The 19314-nt window shown below is 36.4% G+C and overlaps 1 protein-coding gene across 13 annotated transcripts in view, besides 1 other annotated feature; it reads left to right on the top strand.

Moving 5' to 3' along the window:
- The first annotated feature begins 451 nt into the window (after positions 1-451).
- Positions 452-19314, top strand: part of SS18 (SS18 subunit of BAF chromatin remodeling complex) — a 74967-nt gene continuing 56104 nt past the window's right edge. For 2 of the 13 annotated variants that reach the window (XM_047437767.1, NM_001308201.2), the window contains exons 1-3: positions 452-575; positions 4094-4170; positions 13511-13595. In XM_047437767.1, the coding sequence (XP_047293723.1) occupies positions 4094-4170; positions 13511-13595 (162 nt within the window). In that variant the 5' untranslated portion in view covers positions 452-575. Of the gene's footprint in view, positions 580-1057; positions 1171-4093; positions 4171-7495; positions 7620-9142; positions 9309-10570; positions 11367-12524; positions 12661-13510; positions 13596-19314 lie in introns of those variants that run through there. The other 11 variants (XM_047437768.1, XM_011526145.2, NM_005637.4 and 8 more) reach the window with 9 other exon arrangements.
- Positions 604-723: an enhancer, noted in NCBI's record as "active region_13178". NCBI's record gives its function as "activates an Ori minimal core promoter by ATAC-STARR-seq in GM12878 lymphoblastoid cells {active_cell/tissue: GM12878}" and the evidence as "EXISTENCE:reporter gene assay evidence [ECO:0000049][PMID:35858748]".

Below are 19314 nucleotides of genomic sequence, written 5' to 3'. Positions count from 1 at the left end.
TACAGAATACTTTAAAACCCCACGGCAACACAAAACCCACATTTGTCCGTGTTCCTTCCATAATTTGAAAACTTTGCCTTTTTCCCTTACACTGACTTGAAGCCTGGCAGCTTGGGCCTAATTTACAAGGCACTAAGTAAGTACTCTCTTAAAAAACAGAGAGTGAGGATGCCCTGTTTCACAACTTAATTCCAAAAAGCCAAGTCAGACGAAATCGACCCACTTTCCTGCTAAGGGTTTGTCCCAAGAGGCGAGCTCTTCTCTGTCCGCTCCAGCCAAGCTGGCCGATTGCCCCTGAGCACTGGACACAACCTTGGTGTCCCGGTTTCGGGTCAGGGTTACTTTCCAATTGTTAGGCACGACTTTGTGCGTGCGTGCGAGACTGTGGACTCGGAGGTGCGCATTTGGGGCGTAGCCGAGCCATTTAAACCAGCGAATCCGCGTTCACCTTGTCCTTCCACCTCTGCCCTATCTCGGCAGATGCTCCACGGATTTGCACGAACTCCCGAGTCTTGACCTCCCTCCCCTCTCCGGGCTGCCGGGACAACTCGGGGCGGCCACTCTTGCCAGGAGGCGTAAGTAAGGATGAAGTTGGAAAAACTGAACTAGGTCTAGGGCACGCTCTGCAACACAGTCGGGGAGACGCTTCAGAGGGCCGGAGAGGGAGGCAAGTTGCCACGGCGCGAAGGGGGCGGGCCGGCTTGGGCCGCTCGCATTTCCTGTGACAGGGGCTGCCCCAGCCTCTCCTTCTCCCGCGGCGGCGGGACCATTTCCTGAATCGCTGAAGCGGAGGGAGGACTAGGGCGCGACTCTACCATTAGCGCAAAGGGCCAGGGGGTGCCCATAAGGAGAGCTCGGGGGATGCAGGGACGGTCAAGAAAGTTCGGCCAGGGCTAGGGGTCCCCCAGAGTGCGCAGAAGCGAGACATCCCTGGCCAGAGTGCCTCCTTCAGGCCTGCCCCGCCGCCCGTCCGCTTGGCCCCGGAGCATCCCCCCTCCCCGCATTCCCGAGGTGGTTCAGCCCGAGAGGCCGGCGTCTCTCCCCCAGTTTGCCGTTCACCCGGAGCGCTCGGGACTTGCCGATAGTGGTGACGGCGGCAACATGTCTGTGGCTTTCGCGGCCCCGAGGCAGCGAGGCAAGGGGGAGATCACTCCCGCTGCGATTCAGAAGGTGAAACCGCGCGGGGTTGCGGATGCCAGGCCCTTACCGCCTCTGGGAGAGACAGACGCGGGGGGAAGGGCCGGGCCCGGAGTCGACCGGGCCGAGGCGGAGGCGGGCCTGCTGGGAATCAGCAGTGTTTGGGAACACGGACTGCTGGCTGTGCCTGAGTGGGTGGCGGAAGAGGGTGAACCGGTTTTTCTCGGAGTCTTTCACGCATTTACGCGTTTTTCTACAGACACAAAAGCCCAAACAGCCGCCGCCTGATTTCTCTAGGGATGGGGCGGCGTTCGGGCTGCGGGGCGCGTGCGCCCGGCGGCGGCCGCTCAGGGAAGGGCGTGTGTCGGACCGGCGGCCCCGCGCGTTGCTCCGGAGTTACTTTGGCGTCGCCCCGCCCCGCGTGCCGCGGCTGCTTCGTGCGGACCCCACCGCGGGTCGCGGCAGGCAGAGGGGAAGTCGGTGCGCTGGTCGCCGCCCTGCAAACTCAGCCGAGTTTGGGAGCTCGCAGGAGGACTTGGGGAACGCTGGAGGGAACCTTAGTATAGAGTTTGAGGAGCGGGCAAGGAAGGTCCCCATGGACTCTGGGGTTGTCCCCAGAGCCTCTTCTTCCCTTCTGCATCGCCGCCTATTCATTTATTCTGCAGCAAATATTTATTGAGCGCCTATTTTAGGCGCTGAGGCTACTGTGGTGAGTCATGGTCCTTGCCTTCCTGGAGCTTACAGTCTAATGGTGGAGACTGTCGTGACCAGTTAATGTAAGTCGTGATAAATACACAGGGAGCTGCCTCCTTTTTAAAGGATAGAGCTGCTGCAGTCGCTGCTGTGTTACTGCCAGTCGGAACACAAAGGTTCTTTATTGTCCTCTACCCCTTGTTGCCTGCAAGCAAGGCAGCATTCTAAATTTTACTGACCTAGACTTTCAGAAGTTGCTGCTGTATTTAGCAGTTTACTTTAAATATTTTTGTTTTGTTTTATGCTGTGTAGCAAAGATCAAAATAGAAAAAAAGGTCAAGTTTTAGTACCACTCAGACCACGTAGATTATGCTAATCGGTTTCTGTTTACTGTCAGGTTCTTCGTAGTGTGGCTTTTGACATTTGCCCAACTGTTGCTTTATTTTATGAACAAACGGGCTTGGCAGTGCCTGGAAATGCAGTGCTTTCATATAGTGCTCTGAGTTAAGTCTGCAGCCTGGCAAACAGCTCCAAGTACGCACTCACGCAAAACTGCGTTTCTGGAGGGCTCACCTTTTTTATTTTTGTACACAGGAAAAGTCCAGAGTTTTTCTTTTTTTTTTATAGTTTCTGTTACATAAGTCTGAAGATATTTATCATGGATAATGATTAATTCGGAGGATGCTGATCAATTATTTTCCATTCTCAGCTGAACAGAAAAATGGGCTCTAAATTAATTGCCTTATTCTACAATGGGAGAGATTGATATTAGATGTGAGACAGATATTTTAATGGTGAAGTTCAATAGTTTGAGGAATATACTGGAGATAATAAGTTGTGAAATCATTAGGTTGAGGACTGGATTCGTGCTTTTTAAGGACTTTTTTTGGTCATCCAATGGTTCTATTTAAGAAATAACTGCATTTATTAGCAGATCATGTTAGTGGTTTTTTTTTTCCCCCAGTAAGTGAAGATTATGATTCACGTGCATAAAAAAGTGACAGTTAATGTTAAATGGATGTTCCTTTTATTTAGATTGCGTGATTATGGTATTGTGCTAATACTTTTGAATACTGGTAGGGTGGGGCAGGTTCTGGAGGAGCATATCCTGAGTCCCTTGATCTTACAGCTGAATCAGCCCCTGAAAACTTAAGTGACTTGCTCAAAATGGCAAAACTGGCACTGAAACTAACTGGCCTTTTAATTGCTACAATCAGTACTCTTTCTTCAGCTCCACTTTACTTAGATGAATTATTTAACCCTCAAAGCCAAGATTGCTTGGAATGTTAAAAGATGATAGAATGATAAATCGGTATGTTTTTCCTCTTAAACTTTTGAGACAGCATAATTATGAAGTAAACTCATAAAGTCTGTAACAAATATACATGCATAGAAATTATTATGTTTAATTATTATCTCATAATTGGAGAGTCACAAAACCATGCTGTTATAAAACTTGGAAACTAACCAGCTACCTCATCAAGACTCCTGGGCTGAAGTTTTCATGTATTTATTTCATTCTGGAGAAGGACAGAATTTTTCTTTACTGTTCCAAAGCATTAGAATGATGAAAAACCAACTCGGACTCTTAACTTTTAGTCTTAATTGGCTAAAGCTTCTATTACAGATAGCAGAGGTAATTAAATGTTTGATATAAAAGAATTCAGATTTTCCCTTCTGGGCTTGTTTATTCAGAGGGAGAATAATTGGAATATTAAAACATTATTGATTAAACACGATATCATTCCAAAGGTGTAAAAGTAAGATTTTTTTGCGGTGAGCTGTCATATATATTAAAAGGACCCAAGGGGATTCAATTTCTGTATAGATGAAACATTTCTAGAAATCTGAAGGGAAAAAACTCAGTTATTGAAAAGATTGTCCGTATGAACTGTGCATGGCATATTTTTACAAGAGATTTAAACAGTACGTAATGAAATTTTATGCAAGAGAGCTGCTGATACACTAATGTTGCTTTAAATTATATTTGTTATTAAAATGAATTTTAAAATAATTTGTAACAGCGGGTAGCAACATTAACAAAGTCATTTTAAGGAAATTTTGTTTTTTTTGTGTTTCCATGTTTGCTTAATGATTTATGATAGTAATGATTGTTTGCAGGGGACAGTATTTTGTTAAGGGATACGCTTTAGAGTTCTTGTACAAGCAGTATTTACTAATGCCCTCCCTTTCTGAATTTTCTAGTTTTTTATTTTACTTGATGCACTAGTTTTATGCTAAACCTTTTCTAATTCTGTTTCAGATGTTGGATGACAATAACCATCTTATTCAGTGTATAATGGACTCTCAGAATAAAGGAAAGACCTCAGAGTGTTCTCAGTAAGATTGATAAGAAACTTTTTTTTTATTCAGTTTTTTGTATTGGTTAATTTTTTACTTTTTACTAACAGCTTTATTGAGATATAATTCACATACCATACAATTCACCTATTTTAATGTGTACAATTCAATGTTTTTTAGTATATTCATAGAGTTGTGCTGGTATTACGTGAGTCAGTTTTACAGCATCTTTAACATCCCCAAAAGACACTGGGTATCCTTTGGCAGTCACTATCCCCCACCCCTCAACCCGTGACAACCACTAATCTACTCTCTGTGTGAATTTGCCTGTTGTGACATTTCATATAAATGGATTGATATACTATGTGGTCGGTTTTGACTCACATTTTTCACTTAGTGTAATACTTCCGAGGTTCATCCATGTTGAACCATGTTTCAGTACCTCATTCCTTTTTATAGGCAAGTATTTTTTTCCGTTATGCAGCTGTACCACATTTTATTTATCCATCGGTGATGGCCATTTGTGTTGTTTGTACTTTTGACTAATTTTGAATAATACTGCTATGAACATTTGTGTACAAGCTTTTGTATGACTTGTTAATTTATAAAAGAAAACTTTCTTTGGGAGGAGATTGGGTATCACTTCGTTTCTTATACTTCTTACCCTGCATTATACAATAATGACTTCAAATATATGTATAGTCTTATCTGTGGGAAAGTTAGATCTTCATTTATATAGGGTATTGAGTTGCATCCATGTATGTGGTGAAAACAAAGCTTATATCTAATAAATAGAGAACTGATTGTCATTCATAAGGGCCAAACTTTCTTACTTTGAAGTGATGTATCTGAAGTAAATAATATGCCCTAATAGAATCTGATGTGGTAGAATAAGTTGAATATATTATCAAAAGTAATTAGAATAGAACAGCACTGTCCATTAGAAATATAAATGGGAGCCACATGTGTGATTTTAAATTTTCTAGTAGACACAGTAAATGAGTAAAAAGCAGATGACATTAGTATTAGTAATACATTTTATTTAACCTATTATTTCCAAAATAGTATCATTTCAATATACAATTAGCATAAAGATATTGAGATATATTGCATTCTTTTCTTTGTTGTTCTAAATCTTGGAAACCTATTGTGTATCTTGCTTTAATAACACATCTCATTTTGGATTAGCCATATTTTACTGTGTGTAGTGGCTGCTATATTGGTCAACACAGCTGTAGAATACAGTTGACCCTTGGTAGCCATGGTGAATCGATTCCAGGACTCCCCATGGATACCAAAGTCCCAGATGCCCGTGTCCCTGATATAAAATGGTGTAGGATTTGCATATCACCTACTCACGTCCTCCTGTAAACTTTAAATATTCTCTAGATTGCTCATAATACCTAATACAATGTAAATACTTGTTATACTATATTGTTTAGGGAATAATAAGAAAAAAGCCTACATGTTCAGTAACAACCATCCATTTTTTTTTTTCAGAATATTTTCAATGCATGGTTGGTTAAAGGATGTGGAATCTGTGGATACTGAGGGCTGACTATTTTATTCTCACCCTTGTTTTGGGATGCATCTGTCTTTCCTAGAGACTTCACTGGTGTATCCTCAGGCAGATAATTCCCACCAACCTTGGCCCTTGCTTTGTTTGGTTTTCACATTGTATTGGTCTCTTGCTGTCATTTGATTTACCCTCTATTTAATTCCAAGTTTCCATTACTTTTTCCCCTTTGTTTAAAAGTATTTTTAAATGTAAAAAGTCATATATGGTTATCATAAAAAAAATTATAAAGTATAAGTTTGTGGAGATAAGTCACCTTTTACATGCCACTGTCTTATCTCCTTCCCCTCCATAGGGGTAACTGCTTCTAGTGCTTTAGTATGTATCCTTCCAAACATTTTTCTGTGTATTTACATATATGCATTCATATTTATGCATACACGTTTATAGATATTGTTGTTTTTAATATTTATGTAGGTTCAGTTTTAGAAATGGAATTACTGGGTTAAAGACCATACTAAGTTGCCAAATTAGCCAGCAAAAAGATTGTATTGGTTTGCTTTCTCCCAGCCAGGTTTTTAGAGTCCTAGCTTTCAGCTACCCCTGTGAGCAGTAGATATTAGACATCTTTAAAATATTTTTGCATATCCAGTTGCTGAAAAGTGGTGTCTTAAAGAACTTTTTGTTTTGGCCAGGCACGATGGTTCATGCCTGAAATCCCAGCACTTTGGGAGGCTGAGGTGGGAGGATTGCTTTGACGACATGAGTTTGAGAACAGCCTGGGCAACAGTGATAACTGTTTCTACTTAACGCCGCCAACAAGAAAAAACAAAAAGCCTTTTTGTTTTGAAATAATTTCACACTTACAAAAATGTTTCAAAGATAGTACAAAGAATTCCTGTATGTGCTGCATTGAATTTTTCAAACGATTACATAGCCCACTTGGTTTTTTATTCATTTCTCCCCCATATTGTTTTTTAGAAACATTTGAGAGTAATTGCAGATATGAATCCCTCTTACTTTTAATAACCTCAGTGTGTATTTCCTAAAAACAAGCACATATTCTTAAATTACCAGAGTATAATTGTTAAAATCAAGAATGCAATACTATTATCTAATATTTAGGGCTTTTTTGAATTTTGCCAGTTGTCCTATTAGTGCATATTTTCTGGTCCAGGGTCCAGTACAGGATCTGGTGTTGTATTTGTCTTGTCTCCTAAGTATACTTTAATCTGGGGGTCTTTTAAAAATATTCCATGATTTTGACATTATTGAATAGTATAGACCAGTAGTTTTGTGGAATGTCCCTCATTTAGGATATGACTGGTGTTTCCCATGATTAAATTCACACTATACACTTTTAGCAGAAGTACCACTGACGTGATATTGTGTCCTTCACAGTGCATCCTCAGTAGCCATATGTTAGTAGTTTGTCCCAATATTGGTGATAACTTTGATGACTTAGTTAAGGTGGTATCTTAACTAAGGTGGTATCATAACTTTATGGTTTGTTCACCATAAAGTTGCTATTTCTTGTAATTCATATGTATCTAATACCTTGAGGCACATTTACATTGTTTCTCATCATACTTCAACACACTAATTTTAGCATCCACTAAAAATCCAATGATTTGCCTAAAATAGTTATCACTTTAAGTGGTTACCAAATGATGACTAAATCTATCATTCCTTTTACTTTTACTTAAGTCCTACTGTGAGGAAGAAATTTGTTCTTTTCCTATTCCTTCATTCTTCACTTATTTATCTCTAAATGGACTTAAACATTATTACTGTATTCTCTAGGTTATAATCTCTTACTTTATTATTTATTTTCTTTAATTCTTCCAGATCTGGCCAGTGGGAGCCCCTCAAGCTGGCTTCTTGATATGTCTTCATTATTTTTTGAACATTTACTTATTTTCTTATACCACAAAATGTTCTAGGCTCATCCTGGTTTTTTTTTCCTGTGCAGGTGGGTAGTCACCCGTTTCTCCAAGCCCTGGTTCTTTTTTTGGAGAATGATGTTTAGAAACTAAGATCTGAGTGCTAGGTTATCTTACTGTTCAATCTCTTGTATGTTTTGCATTTTATATGATTGTTTCCATTACATATATTATTGCTTAGATGAATCTTGTGCATATATTTGAGAATGTTCTTTAAAAAATTAACTAGCTGATCTACTTCTTTGGTTTAACTGTGGATAGTAAGGAGATCAATTCCTCAAGTCAGCCATGGAATGTTAAAGCTTAGAGGCACTTATTAGAATACAATCATGCGCTACCTAATGCTCTTTTGGTCAACAATAGACCGAAAGATTATAATACCATATTTGTACTATAATACCCATAAGATTATAATACCATCTTCCTACTGCACCTTTTCTATTTGGATAATTGTAGATAAACAAATACTTACCATTCAGTTCAGTACAGCCAACAGTATTCAGTATAGTAAAAGGCTTTTCAGGTTTGTAGCCTAGGAGCAATAAGCTATACTGTATAGCCTAGGTGTGTAGTAAGCTATACCATCTAGGTTTGTGTGAGTACTCTTGATGATGTTTGCACAACAACGATGAAATCACCTAACAACACATTTATCAGAATGTATCCCCATTGTTAAGTGATGAATAACTGAAATTATTTTTGCCTTTGGTTTTTAAGAACTCCACACAGAGCCAAGGGTAGTATATGTCACGGATAGTGTATGTTTAGGTCTAGAACCAACTGAGTCAGCAAAATTTTCAACTTTTTCAGATATATATATATGATCATTTCCCTCATTCTCTACATATTGGATTAGATCTCATTTTCTCACATATACTTGGTGAACAATTTAAGCAAATAGGGCTTAAACTGACTTAGGGAGAATCTTAAATTCTGCCGTTTTTGGTGGATTTAATTTTATTCTTTTGTTCTTCAGATATTCTTTCTTTCTCAAGTTGTCAGTATTGGTTTGTGAATAAAGAGAAAAACAACTCCTCCTCTCGACCTTAACAGGTGTTCTTGTTTCTCATTGTAGGAGAAGCAAAAGGAAAATAAAGAGAAACGTTAATACATGACAGCCATCTGGGAATTGATACTCCAATTTTAAATTAACAACTCCTTAAGATGTGATAACTTTGCCTGAAACTGTGTTTTTTTTTAAATTAAAAATAACTATGTATTTTATGAAAGCAGTATGTGCAAATTAGAAAACAAAAATGTGTAAAAATAAGAGAATGAATACCATATTCTTACTACCCAAAGACTTTTCAGTGGTAGTACCTTTGTGTATGTTGCTTTATCAACGCTCTCTGCAGACACACACAAATTCAAATATTACACTCATGAGTCAGTGGTCTGAATCACTTGTGGAGCGCATGTGCCTGGACCATCTTCCTTTAAATTCTGGTAACACACGTGAGAATGTGTTACTGATTCACTGTGATGTTTAATTTGAGCATTTTCTAAATCAACCTATGTTTGCTTAAATCATTTCTTATTTTTTGCATTTTAGGGTGAGTCCAAACTATTCCAGAGTTGCATAAATTTCAAACAACAAAAAAAATTAGTGTCGATCATTCATCGTAATTTAAAAGAGTTGTTTAAATCTGTAGTTTGGAAGATAACTTTTATTCTATAAAGTGCATTCCCGTTGTCTAATAAATATTCATAGCTTCTAGGTAAGGTTTATTTTATAAAATGAAATTACTTCCAGCTTAATTTTGTAATTATGTCAACAAATAGAGTGTCCATTTTACTTTATTCAAAGTAATTGATGAGTTACTCTTAGTGGCCTCTGTGGGAGGTGAACTGGCTCTTTTAATAGGTTAATAATCATGAGTATTTGAGAATATTTGTCATATTTACCAGGACAGTACCATCATCAAAAATAAAATACTAAATATATTTTATAACAGCCCTTAGCTTATATACTCCTTTTTTTCCTCATATCAACATATACTCTTTTTTTTTGTTTTGTTTTTCAAGACATAATCTCACTCTTTTGCCCAGGCTGGAGTGCAAGTGGTATGATAATGGCTCACTGCAGCCTCAACCTCCTGTTCTCAAGTGATCCTCCCACCTTAGCCTCCTAAGTAGCAGGGACTACAGGTGCGTGCCACCATGCTCAGCTAATTTTTCACTTTTTCGTAGGGATAGGGTCTCACTTTGTTGCCCAGGCTTGTCTTGAACTCCTAGGCTTAAGCGATCCTCCTGCCTCAGCCTCCCAAAGTGCTGGGATTACAGGTGTGAGCCACTGTGCCCAGCACAACATATACTGTTTTAGGAATAAAACATTAAGAAAGTAAACTGTTTCAGTGAGAAACGTAACTATATATAGAATAAAAATATTCAAAGTTTCTGAGGAAAATATATTTAATATCATTTTTATTATCATTTCAATATTGTCACCTGAGTCCAGATTCTCCTAGAGTATTTGCTGATTGCTTTTTAGGTGACCTATATACAAAGTTATAAAATAATATGAGTATTTACTACTTTTTTGTTAATGTTCATCTTTGAACCTTGAGTCATCTTAGAATATGTTTAATTGGGCTGAGTGTGGTGACTCACGCCTGTAATCCCAGCACTTTGAGAGGCCGAGGCGGGCAGATCACCTGAGATCAGGAGTTCAAGACCAGCCTGGCCAACATGGTGAAACCCCATCTCTACTAAAAGTACAAAAATTGGCTGGACGTGGTGGTGGATACCTGTAATCCCAACTGCTTGGGAGGCTGAGGCAGGAGAATCACTTGAACCTGGGAGGCGGAGATTACAAGTGAGCCAAGATCGCACCACTGCACTCCAGCCTAGCTGACAGTGAGATTCTGTCTCAAAAGAAAAAAGAATATACTTATTTGATGAATGCTATAAAATAATGCAATTTTACAGAAAATAAACATACTGAAGTTAGAAAAGGCCAATTAAAATTTTTTTTTTTTTTTTTTTTTTTTTTGAGACGGAGTCTCGCTCTGTCGCCCAGGCCGGACTGCGGACTGAAAATTTTTCATTTTTACCTACCTCCTTATACGAGGGAAAATGATTTGGAGGTATTAGGGCAATTGGAGAAATTTGAATGAGTTCTGTGGATTAAATAGTAATGATATATCAATGTTAATTTCCCCATGATGGTTGTCCTGTTATATGAGGGAATAGCCTTGTTTTGGAAAGCCAGTACTGAAGTATTAGGAGTAATGTATTACTGACTCACAAATGGTTTTGGAAAAAAGTGAGTGCATATGTATGTCTGTGTGTGTTGGTGTGTGTATTTAGAGATGATAGGAAAAATGTGGTAAAATACTAATCATTAGAGAATCTGGGAGAAAAAATATACAAGACTTTGCTATTGAAACTTTTCTGTAAGTTTAAAATTATTTCACAATTAAAAATTGAAAAGATTTGACAGTTGAGAGAAGGTTGGGCAAATGTCTTAAAATGAAACTACTTCATAAAAGATCCTGGGTTTATAGATTTTAAAACTGCAGGCAACTTCAGTGTCCTGCTTTAACTCCATTATTTTACATATGAGACCTTAAGAGTGTGGCAGATTAGATGTAATAGTAGTTTCACACTGGCTTTGTCAAGTACTAATCAACATGATACTAAAATTTTTTCTTAAAGGGTCATGAATAAACCACATCTGTTAGTATGGTTTGGTCAGTGGTCCTCAGAAAATCTCATGTCGTGCAACCATACTAATACTCAAGCAAAGGAAAACTTGAAGGCCTAGACTGAAACAGGTTATGTGTTCTAATTAAAAATGGCTGGTTGGTTTTTTAAAAAATGGCAAGATATGGAACACTATATTTTAAGTTCCTTCCTAGATCTCTACAGAATAATGAAATAGTTCCAGCTAGTGGTCCCTGTTAGTGCTGCTTGAAGAATTTCAACAACACAATTAACCATTATGTATAATTTAGTACAATATAATTATTACTTTGTCCATTTAGTGTAAAGTTCACTATCAAAGATGTATCATGTCTCATTGGGCAACATAGTGTCCATGTGACGCAAAGCATTAAAAGCATGGCCTTGTTTGTGAAAGCGTTATTTTAAGGTCAGCAAGAAATAGTGTTTTTTCCTTTCTTATTAAAAAAAAAAAAGCTGTGAAACCTGTTGTTTGTAACAGGAGAAAAATAAGTAGCAAAGAATATGCTAGGATTCGGCTGGGTACAGTGGCTCACGCCTGTAATCCCAGCACTTTGAGAGTCTGAGGCTGGCTGATTGCTTGAGCTCAGGAGTTTGAGAGCAGCCTGGGCAACATGGTGAAACCCTGTCTATTAAAAATGCAAAATTTAGCACCGTGTGGTGGTATGTGCCTGTGGGCCCAGCTACTTGGGAGGCTGAGGTGGGAGGATTGCTTGAGCCCAGGAGATCAAGGCTGCAGTGAGCCATGATTACGCCACTGCACGCTCCAGCCTGGGTGACAGAGTGAGACCTTGTCTCAAAAAAACAAACAAAACCAAAAACGAACAAAAGAAAAACTCGGATTCCTTTTATGGTGTCTATTTTAGAAAATGAATTAATTTGGAATCTGAATTAGAGAACTTTAGCTGAAAAAACTTATTTTTATTATTTTAATTTGTATTTAGCATTTTTAGTAAATGAAATATTTAAGAAAGCCTAACAATTTGATGCAGGTTTTAAGTTTGTACTCATGGGGCTTGTATGGCTGCACTGAGACAAAACACTAGTGATTGGATCACTGCTAATTTTAATATGGCTTTGTCAGTTAATTTGTTAAAATTGTGAAGAGAAGCTTAGCTAAACTAATTCATAGGTAAGATTACAATAAGCATGTTTAACCACGTAATGCTGATAATGAATTTGCTTTATTTTCTTAAAGTTAATCTTGAGTGTTGTTGGTGTTATAACATTTCTTCCATCTTTTGTTTTAGCATATCTCTTTTTTTCTGTAGTTGGAGATTGCCTATTCATTGCCTTCTCTATATGCTGTGTCCTGATAGATGGGTAGTATAAACACAGTGGGCCTAAGTTGTTGGTCATTGCTACAGTAGTGAAAAGGAAAAAAAGGTGTGGTTCCCACCTCCTTTCCTAAATTTTAGCAGAACATATTGACTGTACTTGGGTTTGAGGTTTTTAGCAAAATGAAAATGGCAGAAGGAAAGGGATAAGCATATTTCTTTTTTTTCTTTTTGAGATGGAGTCTCACTCTGTTGCCCAGGCTGGAGTGCAGTGGCATGATCTCGGCTCACTGCAACCTTTGCCTCCTGGGTTCAGGCAGTTGTCCTGCCTCAGCCTCCTGAGTAGCTGGAATTACAGGCGTGTGCCACCATGCCCAGCTAATTTTTGTATTTTTAGGAGAGACGGGGGTTTCACCGTGTTGGCCAGGCTGGTCTTGAACTCCTGACCTCAAGTGATCTGCCCACCTTGGGCTCCTAAAGGGCTGGGATTACAGGTGTGAGCCACTGTGCCCAGCTGAGATAAGCACATTTCACTGGATTCCTTTATTTAGTTCTTTTTAAAAAAACTCAGTGTACTAGTATGGGCCTATTACATATGTCAGTTATTCCATCTACTAGCTATGCAATCATGTACAAGTTATCAACCTCTCTAAACATTAGTTTCTCATCTGTAAAATGGAGAAAAGAGCTCCTGCCTCGTAGTATTGGTTTGTGGATTGAAACATATATGCATATAAAAAATTATAACACTATTTAGCATACATGGCAAGATCTCTGAGCTCATTATATTTAAATATTTATTATTTGGAACTTTTGCAGTGTAGGAAAAATTGAAGTGCTATTGATGTTCGGGTAACAAATTTTTAATGAAACTTTAGAAATGATTATAGTGCTGTTTGTACTTAGGCAGGTAGGAAGAAAATTATTTTTTAATACTGATACTTGTTTTGTTTTAATAGGTATCAGCAGATGTTGCACACAAACTTGGTATACCTTGCTACAATAGCAGATTCTAATCAAAATATGCAGTCTCTTTTACCAGCAGTAAGTATCTTTAAAATCATGTGAAGTAGACAATCTTTATAGTTACATATGGTATGGCACATTTTTGTTGAATGATTTTTAAGTTTTGTTTAGTAAATCCTGCTTTACTCTGAGAACATGAAAGTATTCTATGTTATCTAAAAGCTTTGTTTTGCTTTTATATTTAATTTGAATTCACCTAAAATTGATTCTGTCCCTGAGAAGGTTATATTCGTTTACCTGTTTACCTACCTACCTATTTTAATTTTTAATTGCACAAGTAATTTGTTAATCTGAAATGTTTCACAGCAAGTCCCAGACATCTTACAGTTTGACCAGTAAATACTGTATTTCCATATGCATCTCTGTCAGACAGGACTATTCTCATACCCAACTAAGTTAACCATAATTTCTTTCTGTCTTACAATATTCAATTTATTTTCAATTTTTATCCGTTATCTAAAACAAACCTAAATGTTTTACACGTGATCTTAGCCAAAAGGCCGAGCAGCGATTAAAAACTCTAAATTTTTAAACAGTTGTTTGCCTCAGAATCCAAACAAGGTACACGTAGTGCATTGGTTGATATGTGTCTTAGTCTCTTTTAATCTGTATCATTTTATCTTTTTAAATCTTCATTTATTTGTTAAAGGAACTGGGTCATATATTGTGTAGAATTTTTAACATTCTGCATTTGGCTAATTGTATTCTCATGGTCCTTTAACGTGTTCCTTTGTTTCTCTTATTTCATGTAAACTGGTAATTAGAGAGGCTTAATTAGTGAGGTTTAGATTTTTGGTAAGAGTATTTTGTTGGCGGTGCTTTGTATTTCCCATAATATCAGATCAGGAAGAACATGTTTGGTTGTTCCATTTTTAGTAATGTTAAGATTGATCAATGGGTATACTTGATACCAGCCTGATCAATCCATTATAAAGTTCCCTGTCTACCTATCACTTAATGGTTTTAATGGTCATTGATGCTTGTGGACCAGATCCTGTATTTCACTTTGGGATCACAGAATGGTGAATTTCTAATTCTATAATCCCTCTTGCATTTATTAGCTGTAATTATTTTAAAAAGATAAACTTCCTTTCATTAAATATTTGGTTATCCTGAAACTAGAGAGTCCCCATAGGAAAGTCATGATAAATGCTTGATTCTGTCCCTTTATCAATTTTCAGAATGAGTTGGTCTCTAGCAACCTGTGTAGGTTACCATTTTAATATTTTTGTTTTTATTATCTGAATTTAATACATTTTTGGATTTTTAATGTTTAAATCCCTTGCAGTCATTCTTTGTTATGTTGAAATTTTGTTTCTCTGATCAATGGAAGCCTCTTCATTTGGCTCCTGTGTTCCTCTGACATGACTCAAGTATTTCATAGCTTCTTTGTTTTTGTGATTTGCTGTATGCTACTTTATATAAAACATATAACAATGTAATGGTACCAAAACTAACACTAACAATAAGATGCTTGTCCCTAAGATACATCCCACTGGGGATATTTTAATCAGTATATTTAGTTTTGAAGTTGAAATAGTTCTTCATGTGGCAGTTGTCATCAACTTGACTACCAGCTAGGTAGAATTTATTTTCGTGAATAATGTGAGGAATAGGTTCAGTTTCATTTGTTTCCATGTGGATGGTTTTTTGTCCCATTATTATTTCTTGGAAAAACAAGATATTTTGTCATGCAATCTATGTTGTATCAGGTGTCCGTTTATATGTGGGTCTGTGTCTGATCTGTTTATATCGTTTCCTTGGTCTGTTTTTATGAATTCCACTCTCTTGTTATACTTAATCTTATTCCTTTTTTTTTTTTCCAAGAATATCTTGGCTGTTGGTTCTTTGCATTTCCATATACACTTAAACATCAGTATGTCAGGTTATATACACATATACGTAATCCTGTAGGGATTTTCATTCAGATTACCTTGACTGTAAATCAATTTGGGAAGACTTGATATCTTTACAAAATTGAGTTTTCCAAATCGTGAGCATTGCATATATTTTCATTTATTTAGTTCTTTAATGTCTGTCAATGAAGTTTTATGATTTTTCCCTGTAGATGGTTTGCACATCTCTCATTGGGCTTATTGCTAGATATTTAATACTTTATATTTTTTGAGGCCATTTTAAATCGAATCTTTGTCTTTTAAGTTTTATTTTCTAGCTGCATTTGCTGTTTACATGGAAATGCAATTAATTTGAATCTCACATTCTTGTTCAGCTCTTGCTTCTGAGTTTTTCTGTAGATGCTTTCAGTTTTCTGTATTCATGATCATATCATTTGTGAATAATCAGTTTTGTTTCTTTCTTGTCAATCCTTACACCTTTTATTTCTTTTTCTTGCCTTACTTCTCTGGCTATGACCTCCATTACATTCCTGAATAGAAGTGGTGATAGAGGACATCCTTGTCTTGTTCCTGATCTCAAAGGGAAAGCTTTCACTGTTTGACCATTAAGTATGATGTTTGCTGTAGTGTTTCATAGATAACTTGTCAGATTAAGGAAGCTCCTTTCTGTTTCTGATGTGCTAAGTAAAAATTTATATGTTGAATGGATGTTAAATTTTATCAAGTACTTTTATTGCATCGAATGAGATGATTATAAGACTTTTTCTTCTTTAATCTGTTAATGTGGTAAAATATACTGATATACTTTTAATGCTCAGTCAGTCTTGCATTCTTGTAATTAACCTACTTGTTGATGACCCACTTGGTCATGATGTTTTTAAAGAAATTGCGATATTCAGTTTGTTAAAATTTTGGTTAGGATTTTTGCATCTTTGTTTGTGAGTGTGATTGACCTGTAATTTTTCTTTCTTATAATGCCTTCGTCTGGTTTTTATTTTGAGGCTATGCTAGCTTTATAAAAGGAGCTGGAGAATTTTCTACTTTTTCTTATCCAGAAGAATTTACATAATATTTCTATTTCTTTGTTAAATGATTGGTACAATTCTTTAGAAAAGCCATCTGAATCTGAAGTTTTCTTTGCAAGGAAGTTTTTATTTACTTACTTCTTTAATTGTTATAGGACAATTTCTATATTTTATAAATTGCCTATTTTGGTAAGTTGTGGTTTTTAGCATTTTAATAAATTTGAACATTAATTAGCATGAAAATAAAGTAAAAGCTCTTGAAATAATCTTATTTTCCTAATGTCAACACTGTCTGTAGTGATAATTTTCTTTTTAATGTCATTATTTGTGACTTCTGCTTTGAAATATTTTTTGATCATTCTTGCCAGATGTTTATTATGGGTTTTTTAAGTCTTTTCAAAGAATCAACTTTTGGTTTTGATTGTGCTCTGTTGCAGCATTTTTCAAACCTTTTGGTCTCAGAACCCTGTTACATTCTTAAAAATTACTGAGGACTTAAAAGAACTTGATGTAGGTTATATTGTTAATATAAATTATAAATTTTTCTCAGTTGTGAAATTAAAACAAATCTAAAAAATTTGTTAAAAATAATAAACTTATTGCATGTTAATATAAATAACATTCTTTAAAGGAAAAATAACTATCTTTGTGAGATGAATGGCATCATGTTACGTTTTTGCAAGTTTCTGTTAAATGTCTGGCTTAATAGAAGACACTATATTTTCACATCTACTTCTGCATTCAGTCTATTGTAGTATCTTGTTTCGGTTGTAGCAGAAAATGCAGTCTCACACAGACATGTAGTTAGAAAGGGGAAGAATATTTTAATAGCCTTTTCAGATTTTTGGGGATAACCTTGTTTGATATTACAGCAGAACTCAGTAAGTTTTTTTTTTTTTTTAAGGTTAGTTGTGGTGTGGAATCTTAAATTGTATCATTACATTTTTCTTACTCTGGTACATTTAAGCCCATTGGTCTTTATTACACTTTGAATAGATTTTTACTCATGTATAATTTTATAACATCATGCTTTGGTGATTTGGAAAGTATAAGTTTACTGAGTTAAACAGTTCTTCCAAACATTAACATTTTTCTGTGTGATACCAAAGACTACATTGGTTAAAATCACCTCTAATCTCATCAGAAAAGTGCCTAAGTATGGGGATGCTGTCAAGCTCAAGGTCGTAGATAAGTTTGCACATTCCAAGTTCTTGCTTGGAAATTCAAATGTGATCTTGGCAACAAATGTTATTAGTTGATTTTCTTGCTCACTATGTTTGTTTTTGAGAAAATGTCTGCCAAATACCCATGCCTAGATAAATACAGTTAACAATTGTTCTTTCAAGTAAAAATGGTATTCAGTGAAAACGGTGCCTAGTTCAGCTGGCAACTCAATCACAAACTGCTTTTTCTTGATTATTTTACTTTGTGACAGATAATGTTTATTATTTTCCCATTTTGTCACTGAATATTTATTTACAAGACATGGAGAATTTACAAAATAATTTTTACTGCTTCATCAAGCACATTTTTAACTGAAACTATCTTTTTCTTTCTTCAACTGCAAGTGTGTGGCAGCCAGTAATACATTGACTAATAATAGTTTGATGTCATTGCCTTGATTCATAATGAGGTTCCAGCAATTATATCCACTATTGCTTTTGTACCATCATTATAAATGTGCACTTAGCATAAAAGGCAAACATCATCTTATGGAAATAGTTTTGCCCTTGGGCACCTCATGTATGTTTTTGTTTATGATTAATTTCTGATCTTTATGATTTTCTCCCTTTTACTTTCTTTTGGTATATTTTTTTCTGTTCTTCTGAGTTTTAGATGAATGCCTCTTTCATCAATTTTCACCTTTCTAAGGATGCATTTAAAATGGACATAAGTTTTCCTCTAATCATAGTTCTGATATGTAGTATATTCATATTTATTTAATTCCAAATATTTTCTAATTTTCATAATTATTTTTTAATGCATTGGTTGATAAAAATACATTTCTTAATTTCCAAACATGGATATTTTATTTTCTTGATTTCTGGCTTTATTGCATTGTGGTTAAATAACATTTTACGATTTGAGTTCTTTGGAATTCCTTGAGATTTGTTTCAAGGTCCAGCATATGGTCAGTTTTTACAGATGTTTCATGTGTATTTAAAAAAAATATGTATTGTTTAGCCACTGAGAGCAGAGTTCTATATATGTCTATTAGGTTAGGTCAAGTGTGTTAATCTTGTTTGAATCCTCTGTAGCCTTAATGATTGTTGTTTTTTTAGTCTTTCCAATGTTTTGTTTGTTTGTTCTATCGATTACTGAGAGATGTATGTTTAAAATGTACAAGTCAAATTGTGGACTGACTGATTTTCCTTTTAGCTCTTTTAAGGTTTTTTTTTTTTTTTTTTTTTTTTTTGAGACGGAGTCTCGCTCTGTTGCCCAGGCTGGAGTGCAGTGGTGTGATCTCGGCTCACTGCAAGCTCCTCCTCTTGGGTTCACACCATTCTTCTACTTCAGCCTCCCTAGTAGCTGGGACTACAGGCGCCCGCCACTACGCCTGGCTAATTTTTTGTATTTTTAACAGAGAAGGGGTTTCACCTTGTCAGCCAGGATGGTCTCGATCTCCTGACCTCGTGATCCGTCTGCCTTGGCCTCCCAAAGTGCTGCGCGCCGCCTGCAACATCATTGTGAATTATCCCTTCTTATCTTTAGTAATGCTTTTAAAGTCTACTTTATCTGATATTAGCATAGCTAAATAAGCTTTCTTTGGTGTTTGCATGGTATTATCCTCCTTTCTGTTTTCTTGTGTTAGAGATAACGATATTATGAGTAGGATGTAGATTTTTTTTTTTTTTT

Source organism: Homo sapiens, chromosome 18 (assembly GCF_000001405.40).
Source record: "Homo sapiens chromosome 18, GRCh38.p14 Primary Assembly".
In the NCBI taxonomy this organism is placed as follows: Eukaryota; Metazoa; Chordata; class Mammalia; order Primates; family Hominidae; genus Homo; species Homo sapiens.
The sequence above is the reverse complement of the archived record's forward strand: the minus strand, read 5'-3'. Positions and strand labels throughout refer to the sequence as shown.